At 43.0% G+C, this 23,379-nt stretch overlaps 1 long non-coding RNA gene and 1 pseudogene across 2 annotated transcripts in view; both read right to left on the bottom strand.

The window, feature by feature from the left end:
- On the bottom strand, nt 5,420-14,285 carry CEACAMP5 (CEA cell adhesion molecule pseudogene 5; annotated as a pseudogene).
- The window catches only part of LIPE-AS1 (LIPE antisense RNA 1), a 255,208-nt gene continuing 247,910 nt past the window's right edge, over nt 16,082-23,379 (bottom strand). For both annotated transcript variants that reach the window (NR_073180.1, NR_073179.1), the window contains one exon: nt 16,082-17,350. This is a non-coding gene — a long non-coding RNA (LIPE antisense RNA 1). The remainder of the gene's footprint in view (nt 17,351-23,379) is intronic.

Raw genomic sequence — 23,379 nt, 5'->3', positions numbered from 1 at the left:
AGCCCTGCAGAAACTCTTTTTGAACTGCATTGCTATCCAAAATTTCTTTCTCTTTATCTTTCACAGAAATCAGATCTGCGTTGTGGTCTGAGAGCTCTCTCAGGCTTCTCTCACACTTGCCTTCCTTTCCCTCACAGGCATTTACCCTAATAAATTCTCTTCCATGTCTAATCCACTATTGGCTGCATCTGAATGGGTTAAAAACTAACATTCCAGGCTTGATTCTTTGCACTTAGTTTTTTCTCTCTCTCCCACATGTAGTCAGTAACAGTGTCCTAGTATTTTCTGTGTTACCTCTTTTTCCATATTTCCATATGTGTGTGTGTGTTGGGAAAAGGGATTGTGGGGTGCCTGTATAAACTGGCCACAAAAATATGGGACAATAAGCTGTGGAAAGCCACAAGAGGCCTCTGAGGAGGAAAGCCTCCTAATTGCCATCATATTCCCATGTTCAGAGTGAGACCTGCTTTCTTATCTATAAACACTGTGTTCAAGGAGAAAGACACTCCTTTGAAACACTGGAATGTGGACAGACATGCAGGTTCCCAGTTAAGCCCACTCCCACTAGCTACTCTCCGATAAGTTAAAGATATGCTGTTTGAGCGCAAAGGAGATTCATTTAAACTGCTATTGCTATAGATTACACCTATGACATACTGCCTCCCTTTCACTGTTTTGCCCTGAACATCTGCTTCTTAGATCTAAGTAATTGTACTCAATAAATAGTATGGAGACCAGAGCTTGGCACCTTTTGCAGCCTCCATTTTGCAACTGGCCCCCTGGCTCCCACCTTTATGAACTCTTAACCTGTCTCTGCTCATTCCTTTGTCGCCACCAGACTTCAGGTACCCTACGGGTGGTGTTGAGGCTGGTCTCCAACAGTGTGTTTGTATTTACATAAAATACCTTTTACACACACACACACACACACACACACACACACACACATTTTTGGCGTATGTTTCTTTATTTTTGTTGCAACCATTTACTTTTAGCCCTTACCAGTCAACTCAGGCTGATGAATAATGCTATGTTAGCTATGACTGAGGGGCAATTCCTATGTGCCGGATTCTGTGCTAAGTACTTTGCCTGTATCTTACTTGATTCATACAATAAACCTGCCTGGTAGACATTACTTCCATTTTACAGATGAAAAGACAGAGGCTTGGAGTAGTGAAAAAACTTTTCAGATGTCATATGGCTAGTGAGAAGTGAATCTAAGATTTGATTCTAGGATTACCTGACTTCAAAGCTAATGATAATAGTAGTAATATAGCAGCTAACATTAACCATTTGCTGCGTGCATGGCATTTTTCTGAAGGTTAAATTGATGATTACATTAAACCTTTAAAACAATAGTATAAAGAAAGCGCTGTTACTGCAATTTTCAATTGAGGAGTCAGAAGCTCAGATAACTTAAGAATTTTGTGCAAGAAATTTATAACTGTTAACTCTCATATTAAAAAAGAAGAAGGATCTCAAGTCAACAATCTACTTTACAACTTCAGGATATAGGAGAAGAACAAACTAAACCCAAACACAGTGAATGAAGGAAATAATAAGGTTTAGAGTCGATATAAATAAAATGGACAATAGAAAAACAATAGAGGAAATCAATGAAACCAAAAGTTGGCTCTTCAGAATAAGATCAACAAAATTGACAACCATTAACTAGATTGACTAAGAGAAGAGAGAGAATATTGAAATTATTTAAAATCAGAAATGAAAATAAAGTCTTGGCATGGCTCATGTTTTAATCCTATCACTTTGGGAGGCCATAGTGGGAGGATCACTTGAGGTAAGGAGTTTGAGACCAGTCTGGGCAACAAAGGGAGACGGTGTCTCTACAAAAAAAAGTTTTTAAATTAGCGGAGCATGGTAACATGCACCTGTAGTCCAAGCTACTTGGGAGGCTGAGGTGAGAGCATCACTTGAGCTCAGGAGGTTGAGTCTGCAGTGAGCCCTGATCATGCCACTGCACTCCAGCATGGTGTGAAACTATAGAGTACAAGCCTGTCTCTCTCTCTATGCAAAAAGAAAAGAAAGGAAAATTTAGATATTACTATCAATTATACATAAATAATGATTAGAAAAATACTAGGAATAATTGTATACCAATAAACTGGATAAACTAGATGAAATGGACAAATTCCTGGAGACATACAAAATATCTGAATAGACCTATAATTAGTAAGAAGATTGAACAACTAAAAGCATTTGACAAAATTTAATAATTTTTCATAATAACATTCTCCATATGAATGAAAAAAAAACACCTCAACATAATAAAGGTAATATGTGAAAAGCCCAAGGCAAACATCATATTCAAAGGAGAAAAACTGAAAGCTTTTTCTCTATGATCAGGAACAAGACAAGGATGCCTGCTTTCACCACTTCTATTCAACATGGTATTAGATGTCCTAGCCAAAGAAATTAGGCAAGAAAAAAAAGATTCAAATTGGAAAAAGTAGTTATATTATCTATCTGTTCACAGGTAACTTTACCTTGTATGTAGAAAAACCTAAAGATGAAAAAAACCTGTAAGAATTAATAAATAAATTCAGTAATGTTGCCGGATACTAAATTAACATGCAACATCAGTTGTATTTCTATAAACTAATAATGAACACTCTGAAAGGAAATTAAGAAAAAATTTTCATTTCAAATTAACCTCAAAAGGAATAAAATATTTAGGAATAAGTTTAACCAAGGAGGTAACAGAATTGTATGCCGTAAACTACAAAACATTGCTGAAAGAAATTAAAGACAACACCAATAAATGGAAAAACACTTCATTTTATATGGATTGGAAGACTCAATATTGTTAGGAGGACAATATGCAAAGTGAGCTGCAGATTCAATGCAATTTCCACCAGAATTTTAGTGACATTTTTGGCAGAAATAGAAAAATCTATCCTAAAATTTATATGGAATCTCAGGACCCTAAATAACCAAGCAACCTTAAAAAGAAAGAACAAAGCTGGAAGTCTCACACTTCCTTATTTCAGCAAAGCCACAGTAATCAATACAGTGTGCTACTGGCATAAAGGAGGACATAGAAACCAATGGCATAGAATAGAGAGCTCAGAAAGAAATGCTTGCATATATAGCCAAATGATTATCAACAAGTGTGCCAGGACCATTCAATGGGGAAAGGACAGTCTTTTCAAAAAATAATATTGGGAAAGCTGGATATCCATGGACAAAAATGAATTGAACCTTTACCTAACACTGTATACAAAAATTAATCCACAATGGATCAAGGACCTAAATGGAAGACTGAAAACTACCAAACTCTTAGAAGAAAACAAAGAAAAGAAGCTTCATGACATTGGATTTCACAATGATATATTGGTTATAACAACAGAAACATAGGCAACAAAAGAAAATGCATAAATTGTACTTCATAAAAGCTAAAATCTTTCAAATTTCTTTTTTTTTTTTCCGAGACAGAGTCTCGCTCTGTCGCCAGGTTGGAGTGCAATGGTGCGATCTCCGCTCACTGCAAGCTCCGCCTCCTGGGTTCATGCCATTCTCCTGCCTCAGCCTCCCAAGTAGCTGGGACTACAGGCGCCCTCCACCAAAGCCCGGCTAATTTTTTTTGTATTTTTAGTAGAGACGGGGTTTCACCGTGTTAGCCAGGATGGTCTTGATCTCCTGACCTCGTGATCCACCCACCTCGGCCTCCCAAAGTGCTGGGATTACAGGCGTGAGCCACCGCACCCGGCCAAAACTTTCGAATTTCAAAAAACATTATTGAGAAAAGTGAAAAGGCAACCTATGAAATGGGAAAAATATTTGCAAATTATATATCTGATAAGGGATTAATTTCCAGAATATATGAAGAACTATTACAAATCAACAACAGCACAAATCCAAAAAAAAAATTAAAAAATGAATAAAGGACTAAAATAGAGATTTCTCCAAGGAAGATATACAAATAACCAATAAGCACATGTAGAGATGCTCGACATCACTAATACTTAGAGATATGCAAATCAAAACCACAAGTATACTCCACCTCACACACTTTAGGATAGCTTTGATAAAAACAACAACAGCACAAAGCAAAAAGTATCTTCAAGTAAGTGGAAAAATTGGAGCTGTAGTGCATTGCTGATGGAAATGGGAAATGCTATAGCTGCTGTGGAAAATGGTATGGCTATTTCCCAAAAAATTAAACAAAGAATTACCATTTGATCCAGCAATCCCACTTCTGGACATACACCCAAAACAATGGAAAGAAATCTGATTAGATATTTATGCACTGCCATTCACAACAGCATTACTCACAATAGCCAAAATGGTGGAAACAACTGAAAAGTTTATTGAAAGATAAGTGGATAGAAAAATGAGGTGTATCCACACATTGCAATGTTATTCAATCTTAACAAGGAATAAAATTCCAATACAAGGTGCAAAATGAATGAACCTTGAAGACATGATGCTAAGTGAAAAAAGCCAGACACCAAAGGACAACTATTATATAATCCCATTTATGTAAGATAGTTAGAATAGTCAATCACTCAGACACAGAAAGTAGAATGGTGAGTAGTAAGGGTTGTGGGGGAAGGAGTGAGAGTTATCATGTATTGAGTACAGAGGTTTAGTATGGTAAGATGAAAAAGTTCTGGAAATGGATAGTGATAACGGTTACACAACACTAAATTGCACGCTTAGAAATAGTTAACGGTAAGACTTATTTTATATATATATATATATATATATATATATATATATATATATATATATATATATATATATATATATATATATATATATATATATATATATATATATATATATATATATATATATATATATATATATATATATATATATATATATATATATATATATATATATATATATATATATATATATATATATATATATATATATATATATATATATATATATATATATATATATATATATATATATATATATATATATATATATATATATATATATATATATATATATATATATATATATATATATATATATATATATATATATATATATATATATATATATATATATATATATATATATATATATATATATATATATATATATATATATATATATATATATATATATATATATATATATATATATATATATATATATATATATATATATATATATATATATATATATATATATATATATATATATATATATATATATATATATGGTGCCTGGTAGCCTTACCCTCTCTACAAATACACACTTTTTGACACTGCCCCTTCCCTGCCCCCAAGGGTTAATCTCCAAATGTTTCCATTGCATATCACTCACTGTCCTCTGTGCTGTGTCCCATGTGCTGTGCCCACAGCCTCATACAGCCAGTGACTTCAGAGCCAGGACACAGCTCAGGAGTCTGCCCTGAGGCTCCCTCTCTTCCCATTTCCCTGCAGCCTAACCTGGGGGAGGCTTTGCTTCTGCTGGCAGCTAGATTTAGCCAGATTCGGGACAGGCCACCCAGGCACCTTTTCCACCACCCTGTTCTCACACCAGGTGGAGTCAGGGCAGGGCCAGTCACCAAGTGAGCCTGAAGCAGAGCAGAGAGCAGAGTCTGAGCTGCTTCTTCCTCATCCAAGGGGCGTCCTCCTCTCATTTGGGAAAAAGTGTGAGCTTGTTTCAAAGCTTCAGATGTTCCTTGTAGCTCAAGGAGTAGGTAAAAGAAAACAAAGAGGTAACAGAAAAAAAAATGTGTTGGTAATAGAGAGAAGCAACGTGGCCTTGAGAATCCTCCTCCTTCCCCCTCAGTGAAGTGCTCTGGGGCTGACAAAGCCCCCTCGACATATTTCTCAGGCTGGACCCAAGGGCAGCCATGAGAAAGAAAAACAAGGGGCAGGGAGTCATATAGATGCATCGGGAGGGTCCAAGAGAAAAATTTGGGATTTCCTTTTGTCCATTGGACATTGACTGAGAATAAAATATTTTTCCTCACTGATCTCTAAAAGCCAGATAGACTCCACCCAAAAACATATTGCCAATGATGCAGAGATCCACTTATCAGAGACTGTGATCCTCTTGACTGTGAACTTACTGAGGTCAGTGGCTGAGTTACGGACAAAACAAGCATAGACCCCGCTATTCTTTGCAGTGATTTTGGGGATAAAGAGCTCTTGTGTGTATTGCTGGAGCTTTTCATTGATAAGCCAAGAATACTCCTGGTCTGTAGAAAGGCCACAGTGTCCCTCTGAGCCAAAGAAGAAGAATCCTTAAGTCCCAACCAAACTCCTGCTGTGTCCACTGAGCTGGAGTCTGAGACATCCACCTGTTTCCCCATCACAAACTGGGGACCTCAAGTCTCCTGTGACAGGAGCATCCCATTCCTCTCTTATTCTTGGTTAAGGCTGGGCCTACCAAAATTTGCCTGGGGCAGGCAGTCATGGACAGCTTTGATATCCAGGGCTGAGAGTCTCTGTTCTTGGACCTGAGAAGGACTGAGAGGCCTGGATTCTGGCCATGTCAATTTGGGTTGGCAGCCTGGGCTACAGAGGACATCCAGGGTGACAGGGTAACTGTGACTGACACTCACTCGATTCCAGATTTCACACTTATAGGGTCCTGTGTAATTCCTTGTGACATTGAGTACAGTGAGGGTCCTGTTGTTATTGGACAGCTGCAGCCTGGAACTGGCCGGGAGGCTCTGACCATTTACCCACCACAGGTAGGTTGTGCCCTGGGTCTCAGGTTCACAAGTTAAGGCCACAGCATCCTTGTCCTCCATGGGGTTGGAGTTGTTGCTGGTGACGGAGGGCTTGGACAGCTCTGCTGTGCAGATAACAGAAGATTGCCCTGCGTGGCACCTTTGATTCCCCCATGGGCATCTTTCAATCAGAGTTGGCATCTCCCACCTCTCAGCCCACCCAACTCTTTAAAAACCCATGGCAGGTGTGTGTGTCACAAGACAGATGCATGATGATCTGAGGGCTCAGAGACCATGAGTCTGCCTGCTCTGTCTTAGAGAAGCACAGGCTTTCTCAAGTATAAATTGAGCAGCAGCACTGGGTCATGGATAAACACAAAAGCAGAAGTCACCGCTCCTGGTGCCTCTCCTGGTCCCTCCCTGACTTGCTGCCTGCCTGGCCCACCTTGGTATCCACACCTGGAATGTGCAGGTGCTGTGCTCCTTCCAGCTTCACAGTCCTACTTTGCCCCCCACCCCCACCCACCACCACCCAGTTGTTTTCTCTGTGGCTTCCCTTTCCAAGAGCATCTTAGAGATGGGTGACAATGGGACTTTTCACTGTCCTTAGCCTGGGACTGGATGTTTTAGTAGAATTAACACAGAAGAGACCAGGGGCAAGCCTGGAGGCCAATTCAGTCATCAGGCAGTGGAGCCACTAGGTGGAACAATTTTCACCAAATATTTCATGGTGAATGACTTGAACCAGTGACCTCTGAAGATAGAGCAGAGTCTAAAGAATGATCTAGAAAGAGTGAAGAGGACAAGCAAAAGCTGGTGGCTTTGGAGCAGAAACATATTCCCCCTCCTGGGTTTTTGATGTTCCCTCTCCCTTTGCAGAGGGCAGGTGAGGACCATGTGGATCTTTCTAGAAATACATGTGGATGTTTGCAAATGCAGAACTGACTGGTGGAGACAGGGAACATGAACTGTTGGAAATCTGGTCCTCATGGACCATGTGTGTTTGATGGAATATGAGACAGAAATTTGGGAGGAAGTTTTGCAAATATTTTCTCCTGTTGGACATTCTACACTCAGATTTCATGAGTTTGACTACTCTAGGGACCTCATATAAGTGGATTCCAGAGTGAATCAGAGAGTAGAATGGTGGGTGCCAGGAGCTGGGACTGAAGTGAATAGGGAGTTTTTCAATGGATATGCAGTTTTAGTTATGCAAGATGAGGAGGTTCTAGAGATCTGCTGTACAGCTTGGTTCCTACAGTTCATTAAGACTGAGTAGTTCTTATGCATAAGGCTTAAGACCAAATGTGTTTCGGGTTTCTAACTTTTTTAGATTTGTGAATATTTGTAGTATGCTTACTGGTTTAGCATCCTGAATCTGAACATTTTAAAATTCAAAGTGTTCCAGTGAGAATTTCTTTGGAGCATTACATCAGCAGCTGATAAATGTTGAATTTTGGAGTATTGCAGATTTTGGATTTTTGAATTTGGGGAGCTCCATGTGTAATACTGTAATCTGCCCTTAAAATTTTGTCCGGAGTTTAGAACTCATGTTATGTTCTGACTATAGTAACAAAAAAAAATTGGAGGAAACATTAAATTTTTTCCATAAGTAGAAATTGTTATTAATAGTGCAAATATCTAAGTTCGATTGATGGAAGTAGTATTTCTCTAGATACCAAAATAAGGTTAAGGTGTGCTGTGAATTCCAGCAGGATGGCATTATGCTCAAAGGAAGATGCTGAAGGTGGTTTGAAATTAGCAACTCCCTGAATAGAGAGAGGCTCATGGTTCCTGTTAGGAGGACAGTACCAGTCAAAGAAGAAGTCTTATGTGTGTCAATTACAATACATAAAGGGAGGAAAGATGCCGAATTAGGAGAAGCAATGTGTGTTATATTAGCAAATTTAGAAAGACCTCCCTATCCCTAATTCCTGTGCAGACTTAGGAAAAATGGGGAAGAGCCTGAAACAGGCATGTGAAATGCTTTCCTCATTTTCCCTAGACCTCAGGAAACACAACTAGAGTTTAAGTTCGTTTAAACTGGGCAGAGTCTAAGTAAGATGCCAGTGGCTTGTGCATCTCCCCACCTGAAAGACCCCACCTTATGGCAATGGCATCACGATGAGGACACAGATGTGTGTGAAACAGGCAGTAAGCCCATCAGATAGCACCCACCTGGCCACCTCTGCCTGGTCCCAGTATTCCCATTATGTGTATGTTACAGCCTTTGTAGTTGTCCCACAACTACAAAACATAAAATATGCTATTGTCAATACAAAATATTCAGTATGAACTTGAATATGTTCTTCCACTTTTTTGTCACTCTTTTTAAACTTTACTGTTTCAGTTTTTGAAGTTTCTATTAACACACCATAAAGCTAAAGATCTTTTCCTCAGCTGTGTTAAGCCTACCAGTATACACACTTTCAAAAGCTTATCAAGGGCATTTTTCATTTCTCTTACAGTGTTTTTTATCTCTAGCACTTCTCTTGGTTCTTTCTTAGAATATCCATCTCTCTACTTATGTCACCCATCTGTTTCTGCATAGTGTCTAATGTTGCCTCTTAGTCTGCCTTGTATGGTTTTTTTGCAAATCAGACATGATGTACTGGGTAAAAGAAACTTGGGTGAGCAGGCATTCAGTGATGCTGTGGTGAGTGAGGCATTCAGTGATGCCATGGAGGGAAGGGTTCTGTGGTATTGCATTAGAGCTGTGTCCTGGGCTGTGAATGCTGTAAGTGCCTCTCAGTTTTTTCTTTCCCTTAGGTGGGACATGATGGCTACAGGGGGCTAGAGTTGGCTATTTCCCCTTCCCCAGGGCATTTAAGGCTCCTATCAAACCCCAGCTGATTAGACTCTGGTAAAATAGTTTCTCTTAAAGGCAGGTCTTGCCCAGAATAGAATTCACTGGCATCTTTCAAAGTGGTTTCTTTTCCCCTTCCCCTGCAGGAAGGATGAGCTGATTTTTACTGGGTATTACTATAGGAACCTGGTAGTGCTCCAGAAGCTAAGAGTCACAAACATGTCCCCCTACCCCCAGAAGTAATCCATTCCCCTGAGTGTTTAACTCTGGATCTTGTTCACACTGACCCTCCAGCAATTCATTAGTGACAGTTCAGGTTTTTCTGACCCCAGTACTGGTTCCCACTGAGGTTTCTGTGCCAGGGGTTTCTGCTCAGGTAAAGTGTGTTGTCTGTCTTTGCCTGTTGGTCTCTTCAATATATGGGTCAGTTAGCATTGAGACCTCACTTCTCTGTGGGATCTAAAAGAGTTGTTGATTTTTGAGTTTGTTCAGCTTTTTACTTGTTGTTAGAACTGAGTGACAAATTTCAAGCTTGCTATAGGCCTGACAGGAAACCAGAAGTCTCTAGGAAATGACTGGAGGATGTGAGCCTCACAGCTAGCAGGATGAGGATGGAGTCATAAGTGAAATGGATGAAAGGAGCCCGTGGGCTTTGGGGACTGCAGACCTGTACCCCTGCCTCTGACCCCCCTGCTGAGTCAATGTAGAGAGTGAAATCACCTTTGCAAAGATTAGGACAGTGGGAGCAAGCTAGCATGGCTGACTCCATCTGGCCTCTATCCTGACTGGATGTGTTTGCTCATTCCTGGAAATAAGCCAGGCTAACACTGGAAGGAATTTAGTTTATAGGTTAACATTGAAGCAAGGATGATAATAGTCCCTTTCTAAAACTAACTCCCTCCTTGCTCAGGGACTGGCTTTCTAAAACTAATGAAAGACCATGAGATTAGGATTACAGGAGCAGCCCAAATTCTGCTAAACTGTAGGCAGTTTCTGCAATCCCTTACTGCTCAGGACTCATGTGTACAGAGGTCACAAGATTTGTGACTCCCCTAATTGCTCCTATAGAAAACATCACTATCGTAGAAACTGAGATTTATCTTTTGAGATGTTTCTCAGACTTTTGCATCCTGGAAACCAGCTGACCTCATCCAGACCCATGACTAATGGCTCAACCAGTCATGTGGCCTCCACTCAGAGGTGGATTCAGAAAATACAGGCCATTTTCCCCATCCTCATGATTTCATACCTGAGCAATCAGCAGTACCCATTCCTTAGACCTCTGCCACTGAAACTATGCTTGAAAAACTATAACCTCTGAGCAACTGGGGAGGCTGATTTGAGTCATAATAACCTCTGTCCTCCTGCTTGGCAAACAGAGTAATTAAAATCTTCCTTTTCTACAAATCACCATCTCAATAAATTGGTTTTGTCTGTGCAGTCGGGCAAGAAGAACTTGTCAGGTGATTATAAGAGTCGATAGAGGAGCTGTTCATCCCTGTCTAGTGGCCTGTTCCACATGTTGGCCTCATAAACGGAAAGAGCCCTGGATGGGGACTCAATGGAAGCTCATTCTCCTGGTGACCTGGGGACACTGGTTCATGATGGAGCCTAGCAGGGCCTGCAGATCCAGCTGAATTTATGTGCCTTTCCTATTTCCTGGGAGCTGAGCCAGGCCACGGTGTAAGCAGGAAGGGAAACAGAACAATCAGCCTTTTTAGAGGGAATGTCGGGGGGAGTCCCAAGGGTAGAGGAGGCTGTGCAGGACAGGGCATGGCAGCTAAAATTAAGGAGAAAGAAGATGAGAGACACAGAGGAGCAGAGAGAGCCAGAAACACCCATGTCAGTGAGCAGTGGGGGTTACAATGACCTTAGTGACTCCAGGGACCAGGTGCACCTAGTGCTCCAGACCAGGACCAGGGAGCCCTGAAAACCCTCCCATGGCCAAGGAACTCCAGAGTCACAGGAGGTGGGATGGCTTTAGGGGCAGGGGTTCAGAGGGATGGAACATGGGTCTCAGCCCCTGAGAAACAGGGAATGGGTACGGCCAGCAATTTCTATTATATTAGGATTCTGCATCCAGGATCCAGTCTCTAAAGAGGTTATGGATACTTCATTCAATCCCTCTATCCTTCATACAAGAACTAGAGTGTGTGTCTCACGTTGGGCCTGTGCTGGCACAGGGTGTGAATGGGGAGAGAAAGCAAAGTCTTCTCCTTTAGCCTCCCATGAGAGTGACACTGACACTCTGAAAAACACAGGATTTCAGGTGCAGTAAGGGAGATTAGGATCTGAGGAGGAAGTCTGGACATTCCTCGCACTGACTCTGATAGCTGAAGCAGGTGATTTAGTTCTGGAGTACAGACTAATCGGTTGTCCATTTACTCTCACTCCTCTGAGGTTTGGATGCCAAAGAAGAAAGGATGTGAGCCAATGGATGACGGTGGGGGTTCCTGGAAACCAATAAGCCCCCACTTCTGCTGGAGGAGAGGGTCATGTGACTCTGATCTGCCCCTCATGTTTGTGTGACTCTGGTTCGGTGACTGTGTCTCCCTGTGGCTTAGTTTTCTCTCAGTCAAATAAGCTAAATGGCAAGTGGTGTATGGCTTGCTATGTTGTTGGTGAATGAACTTTAAATCATTCACAGTCATCTGACCTAATGCTTGGCACAGAAGAAGTGTTCATACAAACAGCATTTGTTATTATTTGCCTCCATGAGAGGCTACCCATAGGCCTGATCCCTGTGAACAAGGGATGCTAGGAACATCTTCTCTCTTCTGTTTCTGTCCCTGGGGACACTGAACTTTCTATGGAGTCTACTAAGCTTCCCAGGGCAGCTGGCTGATGGACTAAGAAGCTTGTCCCTCTGTCCTCTGTACTCTGAGTCTCAGGTGGAGAAGGCTCTGTCCTTGCCCAGATGAGGCTCTGGAGCTAAACCATAGCTGGTAAGCAGCTCTAGGAGCCACAGCCTGTGGACAGCTGGTAAATATTTGCTTCCAGTAAGCCTTGCCCAGGAAGCTACAACCCAGGCCTGGCACAGGCTCCCCAGGGTCACGTGGAGTCAGGATCCTGAGACACAAGTCTGGAGCTGGGGCCTTCAGGGCTGAGCTTCTCTAAGAGAATCCCAGGGTGTCCCTCAGGCCAGGCCTTGGCCCAGCTCCAGGGTCTTTCTCAGAGTCAGGTCCATGGGGGAGGCATGAGGTGCTTGGCTGAGACTGATCTCCGGCTGAGTCCCCACATCAGACTGTCCTTTCTGTACAGTGAATGTCTCCAGGATCTGGATGCAGGAAAGGAATTCTGATCTGCTGAAGTCTGTCTCCCCTCTGTGTGTCCTGCACTAATGTCCAAACCCTAAAATGAGACATAATGCAGAGGGAAATAAGGCACAGCTCAGGCCTGACAATCCTGTGTGTGTGAGGTAGAACTGAACCCCAACACCCAGAGGACATAAGGAATCACTCACGGCGTAAGCTGAATTGTATGGTTATTTCTTCATTCATAAGATTTAGCTTTATAACTTCAAGGGTGTAGAATCCTGTGTCATTTTGGGTCACGTTATGGATCAGCAGGCATGCATAGAAGTTTATCGTCTCCTGATCACTGTATGCAGGCCCTGGGGTAGTTACTTAAGTGTCGATTACATATCCTATAATTTGGTGGTTGGCAGCCACTTGGTCCCCTTTGTACCAGTTGTAGCCAAGACAATCCTGGGGCAGATGATAAACAAGTAGAACAACTTCCTGCCCCTCTGCAGCATCAGACAGCAGGGCTTCAACAGTGACATGGGCAGTGGTAGGCAGGTTTCAGAAAATTCAAAGTAAGGCTAGGAAGGGGAGAGAGCATCAGACAATTTGGGGACCTATCTATTGGTATCAAAAGATGGGACCCTGGGTGTTGAGAAGGTCTCTTCAACCCTCCACCTTAGAGTGTGTGTGTATCCTACTGGGTCAAGGTCAGAAGCATGACCCTGATTTTTTCAACACCTCTGACCTTGGCATTTCCCTGTGTGGAATCCTCTTCCCCAGGAGTCTGCATGGCTCCCTCCCCACTGCCCTCAGGTCCTGCTCACATCAGGATGTCCTTGGGAGACTTCTTCCCTGAAGCCTCTTCTAGAGACCCTGGGTCTTCCCTTTCTGACCTTTCCCTGCTCTGCTCCCTCCAGAGCTCTTGTCAACACCTAACCTCACATTCTAGATCTCTTTGTATGTCTGTCTTCCTCCCCAGGAGAGTGTGAGCTCTGTGAGGACAGGGGCTTGTGTGATCTTGGTTGCATCCCAGTGCCTGGGACAGTCTGTAGACTCCTGTGGATGAGTTCATGAGCGTTCCCAGTGCTATACACATCCCGGGGTTTACGCTCCAATTTCTGGGGTTGGTGGCTGAGGACAATGTTTCATGCCCTGGTTATGTTTTTATGTGAAGTGTCATCTGACATAGTTATTAATATCATTTTTCAAAATATAGTGGCCAGTGAAGATTAACCAGGAAAATAAAACACTTGAGATTTTCCTGCTTCTTACCTATTCCAGATCAATGTGATTTTTTTTGTTTTGACCCCTGTCCCTCTTCTGTATCTTCTTACCTATTCAGACTCCAACAGAAGCCCTCTGTCCCCTCTCAGAGCCCCATCCTTCCAGGAGACCCCAGCCAGTCACTGTGCTTCCTCCTCCCGTCCTCTCCCAGGAAGGCCTTCCTTCACCTACCTGTGAGCAGGAGCCTCTGCCAGGAAACATGCCATCTGCAGGGAGGAGCTGAGGAAATCACCATGGTCTCTGCTGCCTGCTTGTCCTCCTTTGTGGAGATGAGCATGGGATCCAGAAACTTTCTGAACACAGCTGTCAGCTGTGCTGTTTTCCTTCTTCTGCACTGAGCCTCTTCCCAGGGCAGGAGCATTTCTCAGGCTCATGGGCGGGGTCTGTGCCCAGGACACCTCCCTGTCCCCTCCCCTCTCAGTCCTGCCCCCTTTTTCCTCCCTCCCCTTCCCCTTCTGTCTGTGTTTCAAGCCTCTCAGAATTGCTGAGTCCTCTGCCTCTTTCACCAGTGATTCTCTCACCCAACCTCTACACACATTATGTGCAGACACACACACACACACAAAGACACACACACACACACACAGAGACACAGACACTCACAGTCACACACACTTTGTAGGCTGGGTGAGCCCAGCCCTGGACCCTCAGCATTCAGCCATTTTCATGGCTCCAAGTTGGGGTGCACAGTCACTCCCCCTGCCCTCTCCCATCCCCATCTGTCTCTTCCCTTCAGAGCAGGAGGACAGGCTGCACCAGGACCCTGTCACGAGGACACCCCTACTGTGCTTTGGGTGAGCTGAGTGCTGGCTAGCGAGAAGGACCCTCCCTTTCTCTAATTGTGTCAAGCTTCCTGCAGCTTCCAAGGATAAACTTTCAGGACCCTAGTGTTCCAGAGGGAACTGTCCTTCCTGGAGGTGTACAGGGTTAATCTCTTATGTCTCCTGGGAGGAGAGGCCTGTGCTGGTTATTCACTGGGGGCTGTGAACCTCGTGGTCACCAGGGACAAGTCTCAGCCACTCTCTTGCTCCCTGGAGTCTGGTGGCTGAGCTGGGGTTCAGGCTCCTCCATGTCCTCCCTGACCATCTTGGGTGTCCTCTGTCCTCTGCATGGCTGATTGTCCTGTGGTCACCCCACCTTCCCCATGGCTGGCAGAGCAAGGAGTGGGGAGCTGCCCAGGGACCCTGTAGGACACAGCTCTCTGAGACCTAGGAGAGGTAGCTTGGGACATAGCAGGGGCTCTGAGCTGGAGACACTAGTCCCGACTTACTCTGAAGCCAGGATGTGCTCAGCCCTTTTCATGTTGACATCTCCTGGGGTCTGTCCTGAGGATTTGGACCTGGTCAAGCCCCTTTGTGTAGAGGAAGCACAGGTAGTGGTCAGATAGCCCATCTGGGAGGACGGTGCTCACACCTAAGAGGGCGGGTGAAGGTGGGTTGTGTTCTAACCCAGGGAGCTCATGCTTACTCCCCACCCCATACACACCGGAGAGCTCTGTCCTCCCTCCTGACTTCATGAGGGACAGCAGGGGACAGGTGGACAAATCCCAGATGGTGCCTGTGTGTGACCGTCACATGTGCTCTGAGCCTCCTAGGGTGCAGAGGGCAGGTTACAGGGTGTCTGGTTGATTCCCATTGGTACTGTGGGCACTCAGGCAGATGCTGTTCTGGAAGCCTGGAATGCCCCAGAGAACAGGAAAGATGGAGCAGGGGCAGGCATTTAGGGAGCAGTCACAGAAGGAGTTGATGAGGATGGAAGGAGGTCACGATGGGAAAGTGCCCAGTGTGGCATCACATGCACCAGCACTGCCCCAGGAAAAATGGGGTGTGGGGGCAGGAGCTGCCTGCAGAGAGAGTGGCCTCAGGTGGGTGGCCGCTGGGCTGCAGGGAAAAGCTGACAGACTTGGGTGGGGAGCTTGGAGGAGCAAGGAGGACATGGGCCAAGTGACCCTGGTGAGGGCGGACCCTGCTGGCCTGTGGGCCCTGCCAAGGGAGGTCAGCAGTCTCTAGGGAGGTTCCAGGCTGGGAGGGACCCTGCTGACTTCTGTTGGAAGATGAGGGAAATGTGGACGGCAGCAGCCACAGGCTAGGCTGTGTTTTATTCCACATGGATCTGCACATTTCACACAAAGTCACACGTCTGTTATGTCAGAGCTCCATCACGTTCCAGCCCCGTTCCATCACGTTCCAGTTTCAGTCTCTGTGGCTGCAAGTACGCTGTCCTCCCTCTTTCACAATCAGACGTCCCAAACACAAATTGTCATCACCTTCTGTGAGTTTGTAGTTTGTGTGCAATGGGCTGCACTGTGCATGCCCTGCAGGCAGTGATGTCTGCGACTGAGCACTGGGTGGGGGTTTGGGAGCAGAAGAGGGAGGTACAGGGTGGGAAGATCAGTGTCAGGGGAGGAGAGAGGGAGCAGGGAAAAGTTATCTTTATTTCTCACTTCCCTGGGTAAGAACCCAGGACCCTGACTCTGGGGCACAGCACCATACCCTGTTGGTGTCCCTGGGTCTTGTTTATGTTGTCTTGGCATCCATTTTTTAAGGTGTAAATTTAACTGCGTCACATCAGAGTGATTCCCATGTTTGTCACCATCACAGAGTTTCCACTGCTGTACCCGGTCCAAATGGCTCCAGTCGGTGGCCACAGATAAAATCTTAGAGGCATCTCTCTTGCATAGTGTGCTGGGCTCCCCTCTCGCCAGCTGCTTCCTTTAAACTGAAACAGTTGTGACATTCGCCCTCCAATTTAAAGTGACCACCTCTCAGTCACAGTGTGATCTTCTTGCCCCAGTGTTTGCCTGCTTTAAACACACCCATTAAAGCTCCCTTCTGGAAACCTGTCAATAACACCCTAGACCCAATAAAGCCATTGGCCTACAGTTCCCTTCTCTCCTCCCTGCCTGGGCTCTCTGACCCCAGTGTCTGTGGTCTCCAGGTGTGCCCTGTGCTTTCCAGTATCTATAAGTAGTTAAAAACTCTTACACTTTCACATTGTGGTTGTGTCACTGGAGCCTCACCTGCCATCCAGGCTCTGACACTGAGGCTGCCGCATGGGACCCATGCAGGCTGAGCCCCTGCTGGAGCTCTTTTCATGGGGCCTCTGATGCTGCTGGGGACAGGAGCTGCCAGCTAAGTTGATGGAGAAACTGAAGAGTTTGATTCAAAATAGTGAGTCAGATGATGTATTCCTGGGCTTGGGCTGCTATTAAAAACACCGTAGCCTTGGTGACTTAAACAATAAAAATCTATACCTCACAGTTCGGGAAGCTGGGTAGTCCAAGGTTGAGGTGTCAGCTGATTTGGTCCTGGTGAGGGCTTTCTTGCAGATGCTGCTTTCTTGCTGTATCTGCACATGGTGGAGGGTTGGGAGGGGGTGGAGGGACAGAAAAAAGGAGAGAGAGAGATCATTTTCCTGTGTCTTCCACTTTTTATAGGGGCATTAATTCCATCATGAAGCTCCTACCTTTATGACTGACTCTTATTCTAATTATCTCCCAAAGGCCCCACCTCCAAATTTTTTTTTTTTTTTTGAGATGGAATCTCACTGTGTCACCCAGGCTGGAGCGTAGTAGCGTAATCTCGGCTCACTGCAACATCAGCCTCCCAGGTTCAAGCATTTCTCCTGCCTCAGCCTCCCAAGTAGCTGGAATTACAGGCACCCGCCACCACACTCAGCTAATTTTTGTATTTTTAGTAGAGATGGGGTTTTGCCATGTTGGCCAGGCTGGTCTTGAACTCCTGACCTCAGGTGATCTGCCTGCCTCGACCTCCCAAAGTGCTGGGATTACAGGCGTGAGCCACCATGCCTGGCACCACCTCCACCACCTTCACATTAAAAATGAAACCTTCAAAATTTGGGAGTGTACACATTCAGTTCCTAGCAGGGGAGGTGGGAGTTGCTTCTCCTCCTGTTCACACCACCTGGCCTTCCCTGCTGAGATAGCCTCACAAAGGCTCACACTGGGCTATAGCCCCACAGAGCCTGTCTCCTCCTCTCCTCTCCTCTCCTGCCCATTCCTTCCTGTGCCACCTTCTCCTGTGGCCCCACCTGCTCCTGTTCCAGGCAGCTGTCCCTAGGTCCCTACCCCATTCACCATGTCTCCTCTCACTGCCCTCTGCCATTTCTGCTGAGCCCTGAGCCCCAGGGCGCAGATGTTATGGGCACTATCCAAGTTGCTTTTCTTTCTGGACAGCTTGACAGTGAGAAACCTTGATGTGTTACCAAGGAGGAGGTCCTTGGAAAAAGCTGCTTTTCAGAGGTTCCTGGATCATGGCAGGAGTGGGAGTGGGGCTGGGAACTTAAGACTAGGCTAGACCTGTGAACAACAGGGACCCTGCTCTGCGTTAGCAACCAGCTCCTCCAACTCTATGTTTCTCTCTGTAGATGATTCTCATGCATGATTCCTAATCCCTTGCTAGAGTCCCCCTAAAAATGCCTGATGACCAGAGCTGTGTGTGGAGATGTAATGGGTGTTGCCCGTGTACTCACACAGAGTGTCCAGGTGACAGGCTTCATGACCTCCCCTCCCCAAACCTAGCCATTCCAAGTGCCAGGTTACCTCCATTCTGATCTCTAGCACTACAGATAGGTTTTGCCTCTTGGGAACTTTATAGAGGTGGAATCAGTCTTCATTTTCCCCTCTGCACTGGCTCTTCTCTTGCAACTCTTTGTGTGAGATCATCCATGATTTATGCAGCAGGAATCCATTTATTTTTCATGTTGTAAATATCCGTTAGTTTGAATGCACCACAGTTTTATCCCCTGTAGTGTTACACATTCAAACTGCAACACTATTTGTGTCTTCTGAATCATGTTAATGTGGACATATCTACACATGTATTTTGGTGGTCTCATTTATTTCCTTGGGTGTAGAGACCATTGTATATGCTGGGACATCTTCTAAGATAGCTACAAATTATAGATTCTCTTGTTAGAGAGCTGAACACATCTAAATTCCCACCAGCAACATCTCTCTGTAGAGTTGTTCCAACTCTTGGGATTGTCAGCCCATTGAATTTTAGCCTTTCTTCTGTGGTTGGGATGAGATTTCAAAATGGTTTTAATATGCTTTTCCTAAGTAAACAATAGTGCAAATGCATCTTTTCATGTACTCACAGGCCATTACACATGTTCTACCATCTGGTGCCTCTTAAGAGTTTTCCGCCATTTAAAAACATTGTGTTATCAATCTTCCTCTTACTGTTTCTGTTGGATTTTCATATGTACCTTGGCTATGGCTTCTTTGTTGTATAGTAGATACACAGATCTGTCTCTGTATGTCTTGTGTATGTAGAAGAAACGAAGAAAATTAGGAGCCTTTTGAAGAATATTCTCAATAATTTTATTGTGAAAAGATTATCGGCTGGGCACGGCGGCTCATGCCTGTAATCCCAGCACTTTGGGAGGCCGAGGCGGGTGAATCACGAGGTCAGGAGATCGAGACCATCCTGGCTAATACAGTGAAACCCTGTCTCTGCTAAAAATACAAAAAACAGTAGCTGGGCATGGTAGCGGGCACCTGTAGTCCCAGCTACTCAGGAGGCTGAGGCAGGAGAATGGTGTGAACCTGGGAGGCAGAGCTTGCAGTGAGCCGAGATCACACCACTGCACTCCAGACTGGGTGACAGAGCAAGACTCCATCTCAAAAAAAAAAAAGATTAGCATGTGGTGTGAATTACAGATGTAGATTTATTTTTTTCCACTGTAGAAATATTCATCATCATCCCAAAGTCATCTGCTTTTTCTGAGTATCCACATGTATGTATGTGTGTTTGTGTATGTTTGTGAATATTTAAAATATTAAGTAAAATTTCAAGATTGGGGCCGGGTATGGTGGCTCACACCTGTAATCTCAGGACTTTCAAAGGCCAAGGAAGAACTTGAGCCTAAGAGGTCCAGACAAGCCTGGGCAGTATGATGAATCCCTGTCTCTACTAAAAATAGAAAAAAATAGCCAGCCATGGTGGCATGCACCTGTGGTCCCAGCTCCTTATGAGGCTGAGGTGGTAGGATCACTTGAGCCTGGGAGGTTGAGGTTGCAGTGATCCATGATTGCACCACTACACTCCAACTGGAGAAACAGGAATGAGGCCCTGTCACACACACAAAAGAAATTTTTTTAAACATAGTTATAGGACAGGTCAGAATTTCCATTTATTCCTGTGCTACTTTTTATTATACCTAATTTTCTAGGAACTTGTCAATTTTGTTTAAATTATCAATTAACTTAGTGTTGTGAAATTTTGAAAAGAAACTTTCAACTTCTGCCGCAGATGAGATTACATCCACTCTCTCTCACTGCTAAATCTGTTTCTTTTTTCTTTCTTTATTGTTTTGTTAATGAATTAGTCCAGAAGTTTAAATAACTTATCTTTTTCAACAACATTATTTTTGGGTCTATTCATGTTCTTGTTTTTTTTTAATTTGTCTTCTAGCTTATTGTTTTCTACTTTTAGGTTTCTTATAAGTTTTATTCTCCTTGCTTTGTTTTTCTCTCCCTTCTTAAGGTGAGGATTAACTCATCTTTAATCAATCTTTTCTAGTATAAGCCTTTTGGGTCATGAATTCCCTGGGGCTCCACTGTGGCTGCATCTTACGAGTTTTGGCAAATGAACTGTCAGTCAAGTACCAAGTATTTGAATGTTCATCACTGTGTCTTGATTGACATGTGCTTTTAAAATCTCCAAATGCCTAATATTTAAAATTCATGTTTTAGAGAATAGTACCCACATTGCACAGTATACTAAATAGGTGATTGGGTAAAAATGATTCAATGCTATTAATATTTATATTAATATTAATATTTGCTAATATATGACTTAGTTCAGTCTTCATAAATGTTCCATGTGGACTTGAAGAGAACATCTATGGTGCAGGGCATATGGACGTAGTGTGCTATTCTTGCTGCCTGTTGATTGTGTGGTTCAAATGCATATTCTTGTAGAGATTATGAATTTTTGCTAGAGTACTGACAAAGTCTTTTAAGTGACTTATTGTGAACAACATGGACATTCACAGTGTTAGATGGATAACTGGTAACCATCTTGAACAGGACAACATATTACTGGACATGTTCCAAATGGATAAAAATTGAAGCCAAATCAAAGCCACTAAACCACCCCAAGGTGAAGAAAGACTTTCTCATTGTGTAGCCAAGAAAGAAATATTGATATACCTGAACCTTTCAAAAAGAGTGTTCATGTGGAAAAATTCTCTGTAAGAAAAGCAAATAATATCTTGCAATTATAATAAACAGATAATAAGCTCATATATAAAGAACACATAAAATTAATATAACCAAAATGTAGCAGAAAAGAGGGTAAATATATAATAGTTCACAGAAAAAAATGTTCATTCTCATTTTTTTCAGTGATAACTTTTATTTAACACTGTATTGGAGTTCCTACCCAAAAGCAGTAAGAAATAAATGACAAATAAGAGGTACAAAGGTCGGAAAAGTAGAAATAAAACTGTCATTATTTTCAGAGAATAGCATTGTTTATATAGAAAAATCCTAAAGACTAATAAAAAAGTAGAAATAAGAGAGTTTAGGGAGCTGAGTACTATAAGAATAGACTAAAATATATTAATTTCTGTATAGAAAAAACAGGCAGCTAGATAGTGTAAAGGGAATACAATAGTGTCAGAAAATATAAAATATTTAGGACTCAATCCAACCAAAGACCAAAATCACTGCAATCTCTTCAGACAAAATTATAACAATCAACAGACATTAAAGAAGGCCTAAATAGAGAAATATACCATACTCATGGATCCGAAAAAATAAGTATTCTAAAGATATCAATTCCATCCAAGTAGATCTTTTGAATAAATATAAGTAGTTTCACAGCATTGATTACAAAGTTCTTGAGACTGTAAACTTGTAAAACTTTTCTCTTTATTCTTCAACTTTTATTTTAGATTCAGAGGTTACATGTGCACACCTATCCCCTGGGTATACTGCATAATGCTGAGGTTAGGGGTATGAATAATCCTCTCACCCAGATATTGCGCATAGCACTCAACACTTAGTTTTTCATTTCTTACTCCCTTCCTTGCTTCTCCCCTCTAGTAGTTCCTAGCTTCTCTTTTTGCCATTTTTATGTCCCTCAATATCCAATATTTGTTCTCACTTACTAGGTTATGGTTTATGGTTTTCTCTTCCTTTGTTATTTGCTTAGGATAATGGCCTCCAGCTGCAAACATAGTACTGGGAAGGAAATGATTTTTTTTCTTTTTTTATGGCTGCCTAGTATTCCATGGAGCATAGGTATGGATTTCATCATCTAATCCACTGTTGATGGACAGCTGGGTTGATTTAATAGCTCTGAGACTTGTGAACAAAACACCCTCCTATACAGAAGAGAAACGGAAGTTGATGTCCTGGGACAGCAAATGTTAAAGTAAAATTCTGTGGCCTCAAATGTCCCCATATCCACATTTTTGATAACACAAAACATGGGAGCAAAACTCCACTCAGAGTATCCCTTAATGGTCACCAGAATGTTAACCATAATGAGTGACTGAGGCAAGTGTCTGAATCAATTGAGGTTTCTTAAGCCAGAGCTTGAGGGCACACCCTGGAAAAACACAAATCATAGAAACCCTCCATGTCTTAAGTTCTCTCTGAAAAAGGTTTTTAGGAGGCCTGGTATTTATACATCTCCTTAAAGGGGGCAAGGCAGGTAGGAAGGGACAAGTATAGTAAAGAATAATTGGTCTCATCTTGTCTTTCTTCTGTACTTAGAAAGATAAGCATTATCAGTGTGAAATCTAACAGGCTTTCATTTTAGAAGCTGGACTTAGATTGCACACCTAAAGTTACAATTGATGTGTCTTTGTTTTATGGATGGATATACATCTTGAAAGGCTTCAAGGTCACCAAAGGACAATTTGAGGACAGTCATCCAGAGATGCCTGAGGTCTTCTTGTAGGGGTCTGGCTATTGAACACTGCTTTCACACAAGATTGTAAATTAACAGTTGTTCACTGGGTAAAAAGATGGTAGCATTGCATGACTCAGTCTCCAGGCTGAACTATCCCTTTGGTGTAATGAGTTTGAAAGTCCTGAGATTTTTGTCTTCTCTTACATAATTTTAAAAGTTGTACTTCCTTAACGCTGTCTGACTGAGAGCAAAGGAATGGGTGCAGAAAGCATCACAGCTATCTCTCATTTAGAATCCCATTGACCTTCCCTTTTTCCTCCATTGGGTTACATTCCTGTCCATAGATCACTTATTTAGTTTGTTGTGTTCTTGGAAAAACAAATCTCAATTGAACTCCTTAAAGCCCTAAGCACTCAGTTCAGTTCAAGGTCATCTTAGTGATGGCCAGGTACAAATATTTTTTAAAAGCTCTACAAAAAAAATTTGATA

This window comes from Homo sapiens, chromosome 19 (assembly GCF_000001405.40).
Source record: "Homo sapiens chromosome 19, GRCh38.p14 Primary Assembly".
NCBI classification, from domain to species: domain Eukaryota; kingdom Metazoa; phylum Chordata; class Mammalia; order Primates; family Hominidae; genus Homo; species Homo sapiens.
Note: the sequence above shows the minus strand (reverse complement) of the source record. Positions and strands in the feature narration are given on the sequence as shown.